This window comes from Homo sapiens, chromosome 19 (genome assembly GCF_000001405.40).
Source record: "Homo sapiens chromosome 19, GRCh38.p14 Primary Assembly".
NCBI classification, from domain to species: Eukaryota; Metazoa; Chordata; class Mammalia; order Primates; family Hominidae; genus Homo; species Homo sapiens.
In genome coordinates, this window is record NC_000019.10 from 41226277 (window position 1) to 41241727 (window position 15451).

Here is a 15451-nt window from a genome sequence, read left to right on the forward strand (position 1 = left end):
CGGCGCCAGCTCCCGCGCGCTGACCCTGGCGGGGCCCCACGTGCCAGGTGGCTGGACCCGACCCAGGCTCCCCGCCCCCACTCGGGCCGCCCGCCCGGGACTGTACTGTTTCTCCTCCGGGCGGCGCGGGGGCTGCGGGCGCGGGGCCTTCAGGGCGCGGAGGCTGCGGGAGCGGGCACCTGACCTTGTCTGGGAACGGCCACCTAGGAAGCCGCGACTGAGGAGCTCCCCTACCCTCCCCTTTCCGGCCTCTGCAGACTTTGCACCATTCCACTCCCTCCGCTGACGGAGAAAAGGAAACTTTGTGTCTGCGGATGGAGAGCCTCCCTTGCCAACGCGGTGGGAACAGAGGCGTACACGCACGGAGCAAACACGAGAGACACGTACACAGATACTCAACACATGCACGTACACACCATCCACAGATACACGCAGGGTCACAAACATACCAGCTCAGAAACACAAACACAGATGCACAAGCACACGCGTAAACAACACGCAGAACTGCAGTCGCACTTACAAGACTTGGTCCCAGGGCCGGGCACCGAGTGGCTCTGCCTGCGATCCAGCACTTTGGGAGGCCGAGGCGGGAGGATCGCTTGGGGCCAGAAGTTTGAGAGCAGCCTGGGCAACGTGGTGAGACTCTCCTCTTCTCTACAAAAAAAAATTGAAAAGTTAGCCAAGTGTGGTGGCCGCCTGTAGTCCCAGCTGCTTGGGAGGATGAGACAGGAGGATCGCTTGAGCCCTGGAGGTCAAGGCAGCAGTGAGCCGTGATTGTGCCACTGTACTGCAGCCTGGGAGATAGAGCAAGAACCTGTCTCAAAAAACAAAACGAAAAACTTGGTCCTTCTTACATCCTAGCGCAGACATTGTGTGTGTGTGCTGGGGGAGGGGGGTGTCTATGTTTCTACGTGTATCTGTGTTGGGGGATTCCCCTTATTCACCAGGATACGTTCTCTAAGAGCCCCCACAAAAGCCTGAAACAATGAATAATACTAAACCCTGTATATACTACACATAACTTTCTTTTTCCTTCACAATTTCGCAGATAGATTGTTTTCTTACTATAGATCTTAGCAACCTCAGTACATATATATATGATTATCTTTTTCTAAGTGGAGAATTTTCACCTTTTCACTTAAAAGGAAGCACTTTAAGGCTTCTCTTTGGCCTATCCGAATTGCAGCCATCACTATTTTGCACCCTGGGGCCTTTTTTTTTTTTTTTTAGACAGAGTCTCTCTCTGTCGCCCAGGCTGGAGTGCAGTGTGGCGACCTTGGCTCACTGCAACCTCCGCAGCCCGGGTTCTAGCAGTTATCGTGCCTCAGCCTCCCGAGTAGCTGGGATTACAGGCACGCGCCACCATGCCCGGCTGATTTTTTTGTATTTTTAGTAGAGACGGGGGTTTCACTGTGTTGCCCAGGCTTGTCTTAAACTCCTAATCTCAAGTGATCCACCCGCCTCGGCCTCCCAAAGTGCTGGGATTACAGATGTGAGCCATAGCACCCGGCCAGGCGATTATTTAGATAAATAAGAGTTTCTTGAACTCTGCACTTGAGCACTGCAGTACCAGGACAGTTGATCTGATAGCTAAGTGACTTACAGACAGGTATCAGATACAGCACTGAGATGCTGGACAAAGGGGGGATTCACGTTCTAGGCCAACCAGAGTGGGATGGCATGAGGTTTCATCACAGTACTCAGAACGGCATGCAATTTAAAACTTAGGAGTTATATCTGGAATTTTCCATTGAAATATTTTTAGACCAAGTGTAACTGAAACCTCAAAAAGTGAAACCTCGGATAAAGGGGGACTGATGTACGTTGTATAGCGGTTTGTGTTGGGTATCTCTGTGTGCTTGCAGGTCTGTGTCTCTCGTGTTTGTCTCTGTAATTGTACGTGCTTCTGTGTGTGCACGCTGGTCATACCAACACCAACACCACCACGTTAGGGAGGGAAGGCAATCCACCTTCACTCGAAAACAGTTACTCAAGGCCGGGCACGGTGGCTCACACCTGTGATCCCAGCACTTTGGGAGGCTGAGATGGGCAGATCACTTGAGGTCAGGAGTTCGAGACCAGCCTGGCCAACATGGTGAAACCCTATCTCTACTAAAAATTACAAAAATTAGCCGGGCATGGTGGCGCGCTCCTGTAATCCCAGCTACTCAGAAGGCTGAGGCAGGAGAATGGCTTGAACCCAGGAGGCAGAGGTTGCAGTGAGCCAAGATCATGCCACTGCACTTTAGCCTGGGCAACAGAGCAAGACTCTCAAAAAACAAAAGAAAAAAACAGTCAAGACACAATACGTGAACTCCCCTATGGAATTACACATGCTCATATTTCTACACCTATGCCCAGGAATGCTCATAAGTACATAGCTGAACACAATTTCACTCACTCATTCAACAAGCATTTATGGCACACCTATTGTGTGCCAGGCCATCCTGACACAGCAGGGGACGAAACAGACACAACCCCTGCCCTCCTAGAGCTGACATTCTAGTGGGAGAAACTGACAATGGGCAAGGTACTTGGGTAACAGGTAAAGTATGTTGGGTGATGAGAAGAACCAAAGAGGAAAAGTAAAGCGGGAAGGGGATAGATTTGGAGAGGAAGCTCCAATTAGCTCCAATTTTATTGTATTTTTTCTTTCTTTCTTTGTCTTTTCTTTTCTTTCTTTTTTTTTTGAGACAGAGTTTCACTCTTGTTGCCCAGGCTGGAGTGCAATGGCGTGATCTCAGCTCACTGCAGCCTCTGCCTCCCGGGTTCAAGCTATTCTCCTGCCTCAGCCTCCTGAGTAGCTGGGATTAAAGGGGCCTGCCACTATGCCCAGCTAATTTTTTGTATTTTTAGTAGAGACGAGGTTTCACTATGTTGGCCAGGCTGGTCTCGAACTTCGGACCTCAGGTGATCCACCCACCTCGGCCTCCTAAGGCTGGGATTACGGGCATGAACCACCGTGCCCAGCCTTTATTTTTCATTTTATTATTTTTAGTTTTTTTGAGACAGGGTCTCACTCTGTCACCCAGGTTGGAGTGCAGTGGTGTGATCACAGCTCACTGCAGCCTCCACCTCCCCGGGCACAGGTAGTCCTCCCACCTCAGCCTCCCAAGTAGCTGGGACTACAGGTGTGCACCACCACACCCAGCTAATTTTTCTCTTTTTTGTAGAGATGGGGTCTCACCACGTTGCCCAGGCTGGTCTCTAACTCCTGGCCTCAAGCGATCCTCCTGACTCAGCCTCCCAAAGTGCTGGGATTACAGTCATGAGTCACTATGCCTGGCCAAGCTCCAATATTAACAGGGTGGCCAGGCCTAGCGGACTGAGAGGTGTTGTTGAGGAACAAAAATGAAAGAAGAGGGTGCGAGTCATGTAGACATTTGTGGAAGACTGTTTTGAGCACAGGGAACAGTGCACAGTTCTTGGAGTGGAAACATGCTTCATGTATGTGTTCCAGAGACACTGGAGGCCAGTGTGGCCGGAGAAGAGCGTGTGACAGGGAGAGTGGGAGAGGGGTTGGTAGGAGGCGAGCTTAGAGATGAACAGACATGTCTCCATTGATGTACAGCCATGGGCCAGTTTCCCTAAGTGTGTCTAGCAGGTGTGTGTGCTCATACTTGTGTCCTTGTGAGTTAGTGAGGGTGCCTGTGTTTGTGCATGTGAGTGTGTGCATGTTTGTGTGTCTCCTTGTGTGTGTGTGTCTGTGTATGCTTTTGTGTGTCTATGTGTGAGTATGTATATATGTGTCTATGTCCATATATATGAGCACGTGTATTTCTGTGTGTGTCTATATATGTGTATATGAGTATGTGAGTATCTAGGTGTACGAATCTGTGTGTGTGAGACACAGTGTGTGTGTGTGGCTGTGTCTGTTTCTGTGTCTGTGTCTGTGTCTGTGTGTGAGCATATGTGTTTATATGTGTGTGTATGAGTATGTGTCTCTGGGGTGTAAGAATGTGTGTGTGTGCCTGTGTGTGACTGTGTGTGAGTCTGTGTGAGCATGTGTGTGTATGAGTATGTATCTCTCTCTGGGGTGTAAGAATGTGTGTGTGTGTGTGTATGCGCCTGTGCCTGTGTGTGTGTCTGAGCATATGTGTCTATGTGTGTGTATGAGTGTGTGTCTCTATCTGGGGTGTAAGAGTGAGTGTGCCTGTGACTGTGTGTGGTTGTGTGTCTTCATGTGTGTTTGTGTATGTGTGTTTTTGTGTGTGTATGCCTGTGCCTGTGTGTGGCTGTGTGTCTTTGTGTGTGTCTGTGTCTGTGTGTCTGTGTGTATGAGTGTGTGTGCCTGTGCCTGTGTGTGGCTGTGTGTGTCTTTGTGTGTTTCTGTGTGAGTATGTGTGTCTATGTGTGTGTATGAGTGTGTCTGTCTCTGGGGTGTAAGAATGTGTGTGTGAGACAGTGTGTGTGCCTGTGCCTGTGCCTGTGTGTGTCTGTGTGTGTCTGTACTATGTGTGTCTGTGTGGCGGGAGGTTAGGGCTGAAACCAAGCCATCCTTGTGTTTGGGGATGGAGGCTGTGTTCCTAACTCATTGCCCTCAACTCTGCTAACCCTCCCTTCAGGCAAGTGCCTGTGTGGGCTGCACTGCCCCTGGTCAGGCAGGCCATGGTAGGAGTGGCCCGGCATGGCCCCGGAGCCCTTCCTGCCCCTCTCTGATATTGGACCCTTCCCTCATATGACTCCCTAGGGCTGAACAAGACATCCTCTTTCTCCTGCGAAGCCCATAACGCCAAGGGGGTCACCACATCCCGCACAGCCACCATCACAGGTGACAGAGTTGGGAGGTGGGGAGCTGGGCGTCAGAGGGTGGGGTTTGGGTCCGGGGTCAGAGTGGGGGCAGAGAGCAGGGTAGGGAGCTTTGAGCAAAGGCTCCCCAGGGTCAATCTCTCCCGTTTGTCCACAGTGCTCCCCCAGCAGCCCCGTAACCTCCACCTGGTCTCCCGCCAACCCACGGAGCTGGAGGTGGCTTGGACTCCAGGCCTGAGCGGCATCTACCCCCTGACCCACTGCACCCTGCAGGTGAGACTCCCAAACTTGGTTCATTTCAGTCTCAGGCCTCCTTCCACCCACATCCACAACCCCCATCCTCTCCCTGGGAACCCACCACTTCTCGGCCACTGTTGAGAAGCAGTAGAGCCTGGGGGGTTAAGCCAGATGTCCTGGGTTCGAATCCTAGCTCCACCACCTTCTGGCTGTGTGACCTTGGGTAGGTGGCTTAATCTGTCCGGGGCTCAGCTCTCTTGTCTACAAAATGGACATAATGGTAGTGCCTACCTGGTATGCTTAGTGTGAAAATTCAATGAGTGAATGCAAATTACCAACTTAAAATGGTATATAGAACATAGGAAACAAATTTAACAAAATTGGCCAGGCGCGGTGGCTCACACCTGTAATCCCAGCACTTTGGGAGGCCGAGGTGGGCGGATCACTTGAGGTCAGGAGTTCGAGACCAGCCTGGCCAACATAGTGAAACCACATTTCTACTAAAAATACAAAAATTAACTGGGCCTGGTGGGACGCACTTGTAGTCCCAGCTACTGGGGAGGCTGAGGCAGGAGAATTGCTTGAACCTGGGAGGCGGAGGTTGCAGTGAGCCAAGATCGTGCCACTGCTCTCCAGCCTGGGTGACAGAGCGAGACTCTGTCTCAAAAAAAAAAAAGAAACAACAACAAAAAAAATTTAACAAAATGAAAATGATCAGCTGTTTTAATTATTTTCAGTATTAGTGATGTTAACTCTAGCCAGAGTGGGAGCCCTGAGACAGCAGAGTCTGGAGCCATTTCTGTCACCACTGGATACCCAGAACCCTCCACTTCTCCCATCCCAGCCCTGGCCACTCTGTGTGGTCACTGTCTGGGGATGGGTCTGTCCCCTACTGGAATGTGAGCTCTGACAGGGCAGGGCTGGAGCTGTCCCAGTCACCACTGGCTCCTCATTCTTGCCCAGCACAGGACCAGACATAGAGTAGGGAATATTCGCTAGAAGGATATATTACAACCCAGATGAGCTAGACCCAGCCTCTGCCCTCAAGTTGCTCCTAGAATAAGAAAACCAAAACCAGGCCAGGTGTGGTGGCTTACACCTGTAACCCCAGCACTTTGGGAGGCCAAGGCTGGTGGATCACCTGAGGTCAGGAGTTCGAGACCAGCCTGGCTAACATGGTGAAACCCCATTTCTACTAAAAATACAAAAAATTAGCCGGGTGTGGTGGCACACACCTGTAATCCCAGCTACTCAGGAGGCTGAGGCAGGAGAATCCCTTGAACCCTGGAGGCAGAGGTTGCAGTGAGCCGAGATCGTGCCATTGCACTCCAGCTTGGGTAACACGAGCGAACTTCCGTCTCAAGAAAAAAAAAAAAAGAAAGAAAGAAAGAAGAAAACCAAAACCAAAACAAAACTCACAGATCTGTAAATATAAGGCCTAATTCTGGTCTGAAGTTCTCTGAGATTAGAAAGTTGGAGATGGGGGGTGGACAGTGCCTATGATGGTAGATGACAGTAATGAAGAATGACCAATTTCTACTGAGTGTCCGCTGTGCACCGGGTCTTGCATTAACGCACACCTGCTCGTGTGTTTGTGAAGGAGGGTCTATGGATACACCCATTTTCCAGATGAAGAAACTAAGGCTCAGAGTGGTTAACCAGATTGTCCAAGGTCACATCAAACCCATGTCATGCTCCTAACCTCCTTAGAAACTGTTTTTTGTTTTTTCTTTTCTTTTTTTTTTGAGACAGAGTCTCGCTCTGTTACCCAGACTGGAGTGCTGTGGCGTGATCACGGCTTATTGCAACCTCCGCCTCCTAGGTTCAAGCAATTCTCTTGCCTCAGCCTCCTGAGTAGCTGGTATTACAGGCGCCCACCACCACGCCCAGCTAATTTTTGTATTTTTAGTAGAGACAGGGTTTCACCATGTTGGTCAGGCTGGTCTCGAACTCTTGACCTCAAGTGACCCGCCCACCTCGGCCTCCCAAAGTGCTGGGATTACAGGCGTGAGGCACCGCGCTGGGCCCTGAGAAAATGTTTAGAGTCAGTGCTTGATTAAACAGGAATTGTCTTATACTTACATGCTCTGAGCACAACCCCATCTGCTTGTCGTTTTAAACCTAGAAAATAGTGGCTATTGGCTGGGCATGATAGCTCACGCCTGTAATCCCAGCACTTCGGGGGGCTGAGGCAGGTCTGTACAAAAAATTCAAAAAAATTAGCTCAGTGTGGTGGCACACACCTGTAGTCCCAGATACTCGGGAGGCTGAAGTGGGACAATCACCTGAGCCTGGCAGTCAAGGCTACAGTGAGGCAGGATTGAACCTCTGCTCTCCAGCTTGGGTGACAGAGTAAGACTCTGTCTGAGAAAAAAAAAAACAAAAAACAGTGGCTATTAATCTTCCCGTTTTCAAGGTGAGGAACTGAGGCCCAGAGAGGGGCCCCCTCTCTGGGCCTCAGTTCCTCCCATCCTCCTCCCCTCCCCGGGGCTAGAAAGCCGAAGCTGAGATTCAATCCCAGAGGCCAGCTGGATTTGGGAGACCTCAAATGCCAGGTCAGGCATAAGTTGCACTCTACCCACATCACCAAGTGTCCCCAGGAAAGCAGAAGTGTGTCCTCTTCCCTTTCCAGGTCTCACTTCCTGCTGCACATGGGCTAGGGCTGAAGAGTTCCAGTGGGAGGGTCACAGCCGTCCCAGGGAAAAGAGAAGTGGGAGCAGGCATGGGGAGACCAACTGTCTGTACCCATCTCCTCTCTGTCCTGGTAGAGGTTCCTCTTCCTGTCTGTCACTGCAGGTCAGAGAGCAGGCATGGTGACAGCCTCACCCCCTCCTCGTACCCACCATCTGCCCCCACTCCTCCCCAGGTCTCATGGTGGTGTCATCTCCCTCCATGGGGGCTGTGTGACTTTGGGCAAGTTGCTGAACCTCTCTGGGCCTTGGCTTCCCTGTCTGTAAAATGGGGATGAGAAAAGAAATTGACCCCATAGGGTGGTAGTGCGAAGTCAATGAGTTCATCCAGTAATGTGCTTGACAGAGAGCTTGGTACATATTTGGCACTCAAGAAATATTTGCTAGGCCGGGTGCCATGGCTCACACCTGTAATACTAGACCTTTGGGAGGCCGAGGCAGGTGGATCGCTTGAGCCCAGGAGTTTGAGACCTGCCTGGCCAACATGGTGAAACGCCATCTCTCCAAATAATTAAAAAATTAGGTGGGGCTGTCATTACACCACTGCACTCCAGCTTGTGTGACAGAGTGAGACCCTGCCTAAAAAAAAGAAAAAAGAAAAAGAAAGAAAGAAAGAAAACAAACGTTAGCTGTTGATAATTATAATGTGCAAAGCAGTTTATATGCATCATGTCATTAAACCTTATACCCTGACAAGTAAGAACTGTGATGCCCATTTTCCAGAGACAGAAACTGAGACTCAGAGAAGTTAAGACACTCACTCTAGGTCACACAGCAAACAACATCCAACACAGGACTTAGATCCAAGGAATCTGGCTTTAGAGCCCACACCCTGTGGCAGTAAACTCCTTCCTGACATACTGTGTGGCTGTATGGCTGGAGTCTCCAGGGTGAAGGGGAAGCCCTTGGCTGCACCATTCCTGAGGCGTGGCTGTGAATTGTGTGGTTATGGGGGTTTTGTGGTTCCATGTGGCAGGGCTATACAGATGTGTACACCAGTGGTGGCCCCCTCCACTCTGAGTGTGCCATTCCTCGGGTGGAATAGGTATGGGAACCTGTGCCGCTATGCAGAGCTTGACACTTGTTGCCAGGAAACACACATAAAATAATAAGTGACAGGCCGGGCACGGTGGCTCGTGCCTGTGATCCCAGCACTTTGGGAGGCTGAGCGGGCAGATCACCTGAGGTAGGGAGTTTGAGACCAGCCTGACCAACATGGAGTAACCCTGTCTCTACTAAAAATACAGAATTAGCCGGGTGTGGTGGTGCATGCCTGTAATCCTAGCTACTCAGGAGGTTGAGGCAAGAGAATCACTTGAACCTGGGAGGCGGAGGTTGCAGTGAGCCGAGATCATGCCATTGTACTCCAGCCTGGGCAACAAGAGCGAAACTCCATCTCAAATAAATAAATAAATAAATAGATAGATAGATAGATAGATAGATAGATAGATAGATAGATAATAAATGACAGTATGCACAAGCAGTCTTCTAAATGCTTACATGCCCCAATTCAGTCAACCCTGTGAAGTGGGGAGCCACTGTCATCCCATTTTACAGGTGAGAAGACTGAGGCACACAGCTAGGGAATGATAGAGCCTGGATTTGAGCCCCAGATCCAGCATCCGTGCTCCTCAGCACTAGGCTAAACTGCCTCTGTGCACAGACAAGAGGTATTGTTACCATTACTGATATTCTTACCGCCAGTAGAGCAAAGACTCTGGGGACAGGATGGGGTTTAGGTCCCAGCTTCATCAGTGACAAACTGATGACCTTGAACAAGTGATTCCGTCTCTCTGGGCCTCAGTGTTGTCATCTGTACAGTGGGAATAAGCATAATGCTTACCACAGGACAACAGGATTGATGTGAGGGCCAAATGAATTCAGATTTGTCAAGGGCTAAGAAAGGCACTCAGTACATGTTGGACGTGTTTTATCTTTTTTTATTAAGATAATATATAACATAGTCAGGTGAGGTGGCTCACGCCTGTAATCCCAGCACTTTGGGAGGCCGAGGCAGGTGGATTACCTGAGGTCAGGAGTTTGAGACCAGCCTGGGCAACATGGTGAAACCCTTTCTCTACACAGAATAAAAAAAAAGCCGGGTGTGGTAGCTCACACCTGTAATCCCAGCACTTTGGGAGGCCGAGGGGGGCGGATCACTTGAGATCAGGAGTTCAAGACCAGCCTGACCAACATGATGAAACCTCGTCTCTACTAAAAATACAAAAAAGTTAGCCAGGCATGGTGGCACATGACTGTAGCCCCAGCTACTCGAGAGGCTGAAGCAGAAGAATTACTTGAGCCCAGGAGGCGGAGGTTGCAGTGAGCCGAGATTGTACCACTGCACTCCAACCTGAGTGACAGAGCAAGACTCTGTCTAAAAAAAAAAAAAAAAAAAAATTAGTCAAGCATGGTTGCTCACGCCTGTAATCCCATCTACTTGGGAGGCCGAGGCATGAGAATTGCCTGAACCTGGGAGGCGGAGATTGCAGTGAGCCGAAATCACGCCACTGCACTCCAGCTCAGGTGATGAAATGAGACTCATAGGCCGGGCACGGTGGCTCACACCTGTAATCCCAGCACTTTGAGAGGCTGAGGCGGGCGGATTGCCTGAGGTCAAGAGTTTGAGACCAGCCTGACTAACATGGTGAAACGCTGTCTCTACTGAAAATACGGCAATTAGTCGGGCGTGGTGGTACGCGTAGTCCCAGCTACTTGGGAGGCTGAGGCAGAAGAATTGCTTGAACCTAGGAGACGGAGGTTGCAGTGAGCCAAGATCTCACCACTGCACTATAGCCTGGGCGACAGAGCAAGACTCCCTCTCCAAAAAAAGGAAAAAAAAAAAAAAAGAAAAAGAAATGAGATGTATAACATGCATAATCTTCAGTGTACCTCTAGATCAAGCTCGTCTAACACATGTGGCCCAGGATGGCTTTGAATGCGGCCCAACATAAGTTCGTAAACTTTCTTAAAACATTATGAGATTTGTTTGTGATTTTTTTTTTTAACGCATCAGCTATCGTTAGTGTTAGCGTATTTTATGTGTGGCCCAAGACAATTCTTCTTCCACTGTGGTCCAAGAAAGTCAAAAGATTGGACACCTTTGAGATTGTTTAACACACATATTCACCATGTAACCACCATCCAAATCAAGACACAGACCCTTCCAGTCCCCAAGAAGTCTCCCTCAGGCCCCAGAGATGGCCACCCTTCTGCTTCTAGAACATTGCTTTTGCCTGTAGTATAATGTCATATAAATGGGGCCTCACAGTATCGTGCTATTATTATGATGATCATTACTATTATTTGAGACAGAGTCTTGCTCTGTTACCCAGGCTGGAGTGCAGTGGTGTGATCTTAGCTCACTGTAACCTCTGCCTCCCAGGTTCAAGTGGTTCTCCTATCGCAGCCTCCCGAGTAGCTGGGATTACAGGCGAGCGCCACCACATCCAGCTAATTTTTTACATTTTTGGAAGAGATGGGGTTTCACCACGTTGGCCAGGCTGGTCTTGAACTCCTAACCTCAAGTGATCGCCCACCTTGGCCTCCCAAAGTGCTGGGATTACAGGCGGGAGCCACCGTGCCCAGTCTATTTGCGTTATTATTGTCATCACACTATTATTATCGGTGCTGACCACCCGCCATGCACTGTGGCATCCTTTGGGCATAACTACACTTAATCTTTAAACAATCCTGTAAGGCACTTGATCCTCTAAGGCCCCGTGTGCCCAAGGAAAAAACTGAGGCTCAGAGAGGGAAGAGTCTTGCCAGAGGTGGCTTTTGGAAGTGGTGACAGAACCACATTGTATACAGCCAAATGATCTCCTTGCTTTGCAAATCCAGGTGCCCGTGTTATCCTAGCATGGCACTGCAACACACACGCACCCTTGAAAAGTTGTGTAGTCACACCAGACCACCACCACTGGGAGCTGTGTGACCATCTCGTGTGATTGCTTGGCTGTCCCGTCCTCACACCCTTGCCTCTCCTCAGGCTGTGCTGTCAGACGATGGGATGGGCATCCAGGCGGGAGAACCAGACCCCCCAGAGGAGCCCCTCACCTCGCAAGCATCCGTGCCCCCCCATCAGCTTCGGCTAGGCAGCCTCCATCCTCACACCCCTTATCACATCCGCGTGGCATGCACCAGCAGCCAGGGCCCCTCATCCTGGACCCACTGGCTTCCTGTGGAGACGCCGGAGGGAGGTAAGAAGGGTTGGGGAGGGACACGTCACCACTGCCCCACCGGACCTTGCTTATATCAGTGCCACCCCCATTGTCCCCTTTCACTCCTTTACCCCTCATGGCCTCAATCTCCTTCCCATCCAATCTCTGACCCCTCAGCAGCACTGCCCGCTGGCCTCTCTCCCAGCCCTTCTCTCCCCTGTGCTTCCTCTCATGGGAGGCCTGCACGAGTTGCCCACGTGTGTGCCCTTGGCACCCTGCACCCACTTCCTGGGAACAGGGGAGGGGGTCAGGAAGAGGTGGGGGTGCCAGCTTCCCCTCTTCCCTGTCCTCCAGTGCCCCTGGGCCCCCCTGAGAACATTAGTGCTACGCGGAATGGGAGCCAGGCCTTCGTGCATTGGCAAGAGCCCCGGGCGCCCCTGCAGGGTACCCTGTTAGGGTACCGGCTGGCGTATCAAGGCCAGGACACCCCAGAGGTGGGTGCTGCTGGTGGGATTGGAGTGGAGTGGCTTGGGGAGGAGGGAGGAGAACATATCAGGGCAGACATAGATGGTTGTGAAGGTTGGGTAGTACACAATTGCTCTATGCCTAGGGGGCACATTCAGGGAAGGTTCACATTCACATTCTGGGGAGAATAAGGGGGTCTAAGGGAGGGCATGGGGAATGGCTGTTTTTGAACCACTGCAAAAGCATTTCAGCAGACTCATATTTACTATATAACGATTTTACAGCAGATAGTTATATAGCACCTTGGGGAAGGGGTACCTTTTCCTGATTTTCACAAAGGCACTCCTATCAGGGCTAGCAATACCCTGACATAGGGAGGGAGGATGGAAAGGGAAGCTAGAAGGGGATGGAGGGATACAGGTTAAAGGATGAGGATGAGAGATGAAGGGGAGGACGAGGAAGGATGAGGAGTTGGAGGATGGGGAGAGCGTTTTGAGAAAGAGATGGGGCATTGAGCCCGAGAGTGAAGGCTTAACAGCTGGGGGGTAAGGTTCTACCCTGATGCCACTTCTGGACCTCCTAGGTGCTAATGGACATAGGGCTAAGGCAAGAGGTGACCCTGGAGCTGCAGGGGGACGGGTCTGTGTCCAATCTGACAGTGTGTGTGGCAGCCTACACTGCTGCTGGGGATGGACCCTGGAGCCTCCCAGTACCCCTGGAGGCCTGGCGCCCAGGTAAGTCCAAAGCCATGCCCAACCTGCTTCAACCCTGTCTCTCCCTGACAGCCCTGACTTACTCCTTGTACCTTTCAGTGTTACCGCAACTTAGGCCCTGTTCCTACCCTGAGCCTTACTGAGAGCTGCCCTCACTCCCTTACCCATGCCAACCCCTCACTCCCTTACCTGTGCCACGGCCTCACTCCTTTACCCGTGCCACACCCTCACTCCCTTACCCGTGCCACACCCTCACTCCCTTACCCGTGCCAAACCTTCACTCCCTTACTCGTGCCACACCCTCACTCCCTTACCCGTGCCACACCCTTACTCCCTTACCCGTGCCACGCCAGTCTTGTCCTCTCTGAGCACATCTCCTCTCTGTCCTTTCTTCTCACAGGGCAAGCACAGCCAGTCCACCAGCTGGGTAAGGGCTTCCACACCCCATCTCCTCCTTCCCTACCCTCAACACCTAGTGGGGGCACTGTCACCATGCATACTCATTGCACATCCCTTTCATGTTTCTCTAACTCATCACTCTAACCTACTTCTTGAGTTTGTGTGGTCCTTGATGGAGGTGCCTATAATGGCCTAGCATAGCACATTGTAGGTATTCAGGCAATGACAGATGAGTGGGTGGATGGATGAACAAATAGATGGATGGATGGATGGATAGATATATGGAGGGTGGATGGGTGGGTGGGTCAATGGATGAATAGAGGATGGATAGGCGGGTGAACAGATAAATGACTGGATGTCGAGTGGATAAATGGATGGGTAGATGGATGGGTGGATGGATGGATGGGTGGATATATGGAGAATGGATGGGTGTGTGGGCCAATGGATGAATAGAGGGTGGATAGGTGGGTGAACAGATAAATGACTGGATGGTGAGTGGATAAATGGATGGGTAGATGGATGGGTGGATGGATGGGTGGGTGGATATATGGAGGGTGGATGGATGGATGGTTGGATATATGGAGGGTGGATGGGTGGGTGGGTCAATGGATTAATAGATGGGTGGATAGGTGGATGAACAAAAGATGACTGGGTGGTGAGTGGATATATGGATGGGTAGATGGGTGGATGGATGGATGGATGGATGGATGAATGGATGGTTGGATAAATGGATGGATGGACAGATGGATGGATTTGTGAGTGGATGAATGGATGGGTAGAAAGGTGGATGGATGGATGAATGAGGTATCCTCCTCACATCCATCCCTCTCAAATATTTCTCTAACAATTCTCAAACATTCCTCCTACACCCATTGTCCCCTCTGGGCACTATTATGGTTCACTCTTGTAACTCAACCCACTAGCCTTCAATACTCCTCACATCCCTTCCTACATTTCTTCACATACGCTTTCCACGCTTATTCCACCCTCCTTTCACATATATCCCATTATAATCCGTTCCTCCCACATGACCCCAAAGGCCCATTGCACAACACACTTCTCATTCACAAACTCTGCACACCTTGTATGCACTTACCATACCTTCCACATTGCAAACACTGAAAAACATTGTCCACAACTTTCCCACACCCGATTCTCCTTGCATGCTTACTGCACACTCCATAGACATCATTCCCTCACCCTTCACTAATCCCAACCCATCTCACTCTGCACACTCACCCTGAACCCCTTGCATACTCAGCACATAATGATCTTTATTTCTTACACACTCCATTCCACCCCTGCCCTTTTTACACCCCCTTTCTGTGCACCCCATACTTCTCATCTGCCCTTCTAACATCTTTTGCATGCTCACTGCACACTTCTCTCACACTGCAATTACATCCTTAAAATTCCTTGCTCACTCCTTGTATCTAAGACTTCACGAATACTCTTCCCACTTCACACACCCCCAACTTTTCCAGCAGCCATCCAACCCTGTATATGCTTACCATGCCCCTTTGGATATTTATTTCACCCTCATTCCTGGCTTTATGGAAACCATTGTGGCCGGGTGCAATGGCTCACGCCTGTAATCCCAGTACTTTGGGAGGCCTGAGACAGGTGGATCACCTGAGGTCAGGAGTTCAAGACCAGCCTGGCCAACATTGGCGAAAACCCATCTCTACTAAAAATACAAAAATTAGCTGGGCCTGGTGGTGCGAGCCTGTAATCCCAGCTGCTCGGGAGGCTGAGGCACAAGAATTGCTTGAACCTGGGAGGCGGAGGTTACAGTGAGCCAAGATCATGCCACTATACTCCAGCCTGGGCAACACAGCAAGACTCTGTCTCAAAAAAAAAAAAAAAAGAAAGAAAGAAAGAAAAAAAGAAAGAAAAGAAAAAGAAAAGAAAAAAAAATTAGCCAGGTGGCACAGACCTGCAGTCCCAGCTACTCAGGAGACATGGTGAAACCCTGTCTCTACCAAAAAAAGAATACAAAAATTAGCTGGGCATGGTGGTGCACACCTGTAATCCC

General features: G+C 50.5%; 1 protein-coding gene across 3 annotated transcripts in view; it reads left to right on the forward strand.

The window, feature by feature from the left end:
- Positions 1–15451, forward strand: part of AXL (AXL receptor tyrosine kinase) — a 42544-nt gene that overhangs the window by 7054 nt on the left and 20039 nt on the right. The window contains exons 1-7 of one of the 3 annotated variants that reach the window (NM_001278599.2): positions 479–636; positions 4691–4771; positions 4907–5022; positions 11668–11878; positions 12194–12333; positions 12888–13038; positions 13418–13444. In NM_001278599.2, the coding sequence (NP_001265528.1) occupies positions 11689–11878; positions 12194–12333; positions 12888–13038; positions 13418–13444 (508 nt within the window). In that variant the 5' untranslated portion in view covers positions 479–636; positions 4691–4771; positions 4907–5022; positions 11668–11688. Of the gene's footprint in view, positions 1–478; positions 637–4690; positions 4772–4906; positions 5023–11667; positions 11879–12193; positions 12334–12887; positions 13039–13417; positions 13445–15451 lie in introns of those variants that run through there. The other 2 variants (NM_021913.5, NM_001699.6) reach the window with 2 other exon arrangements.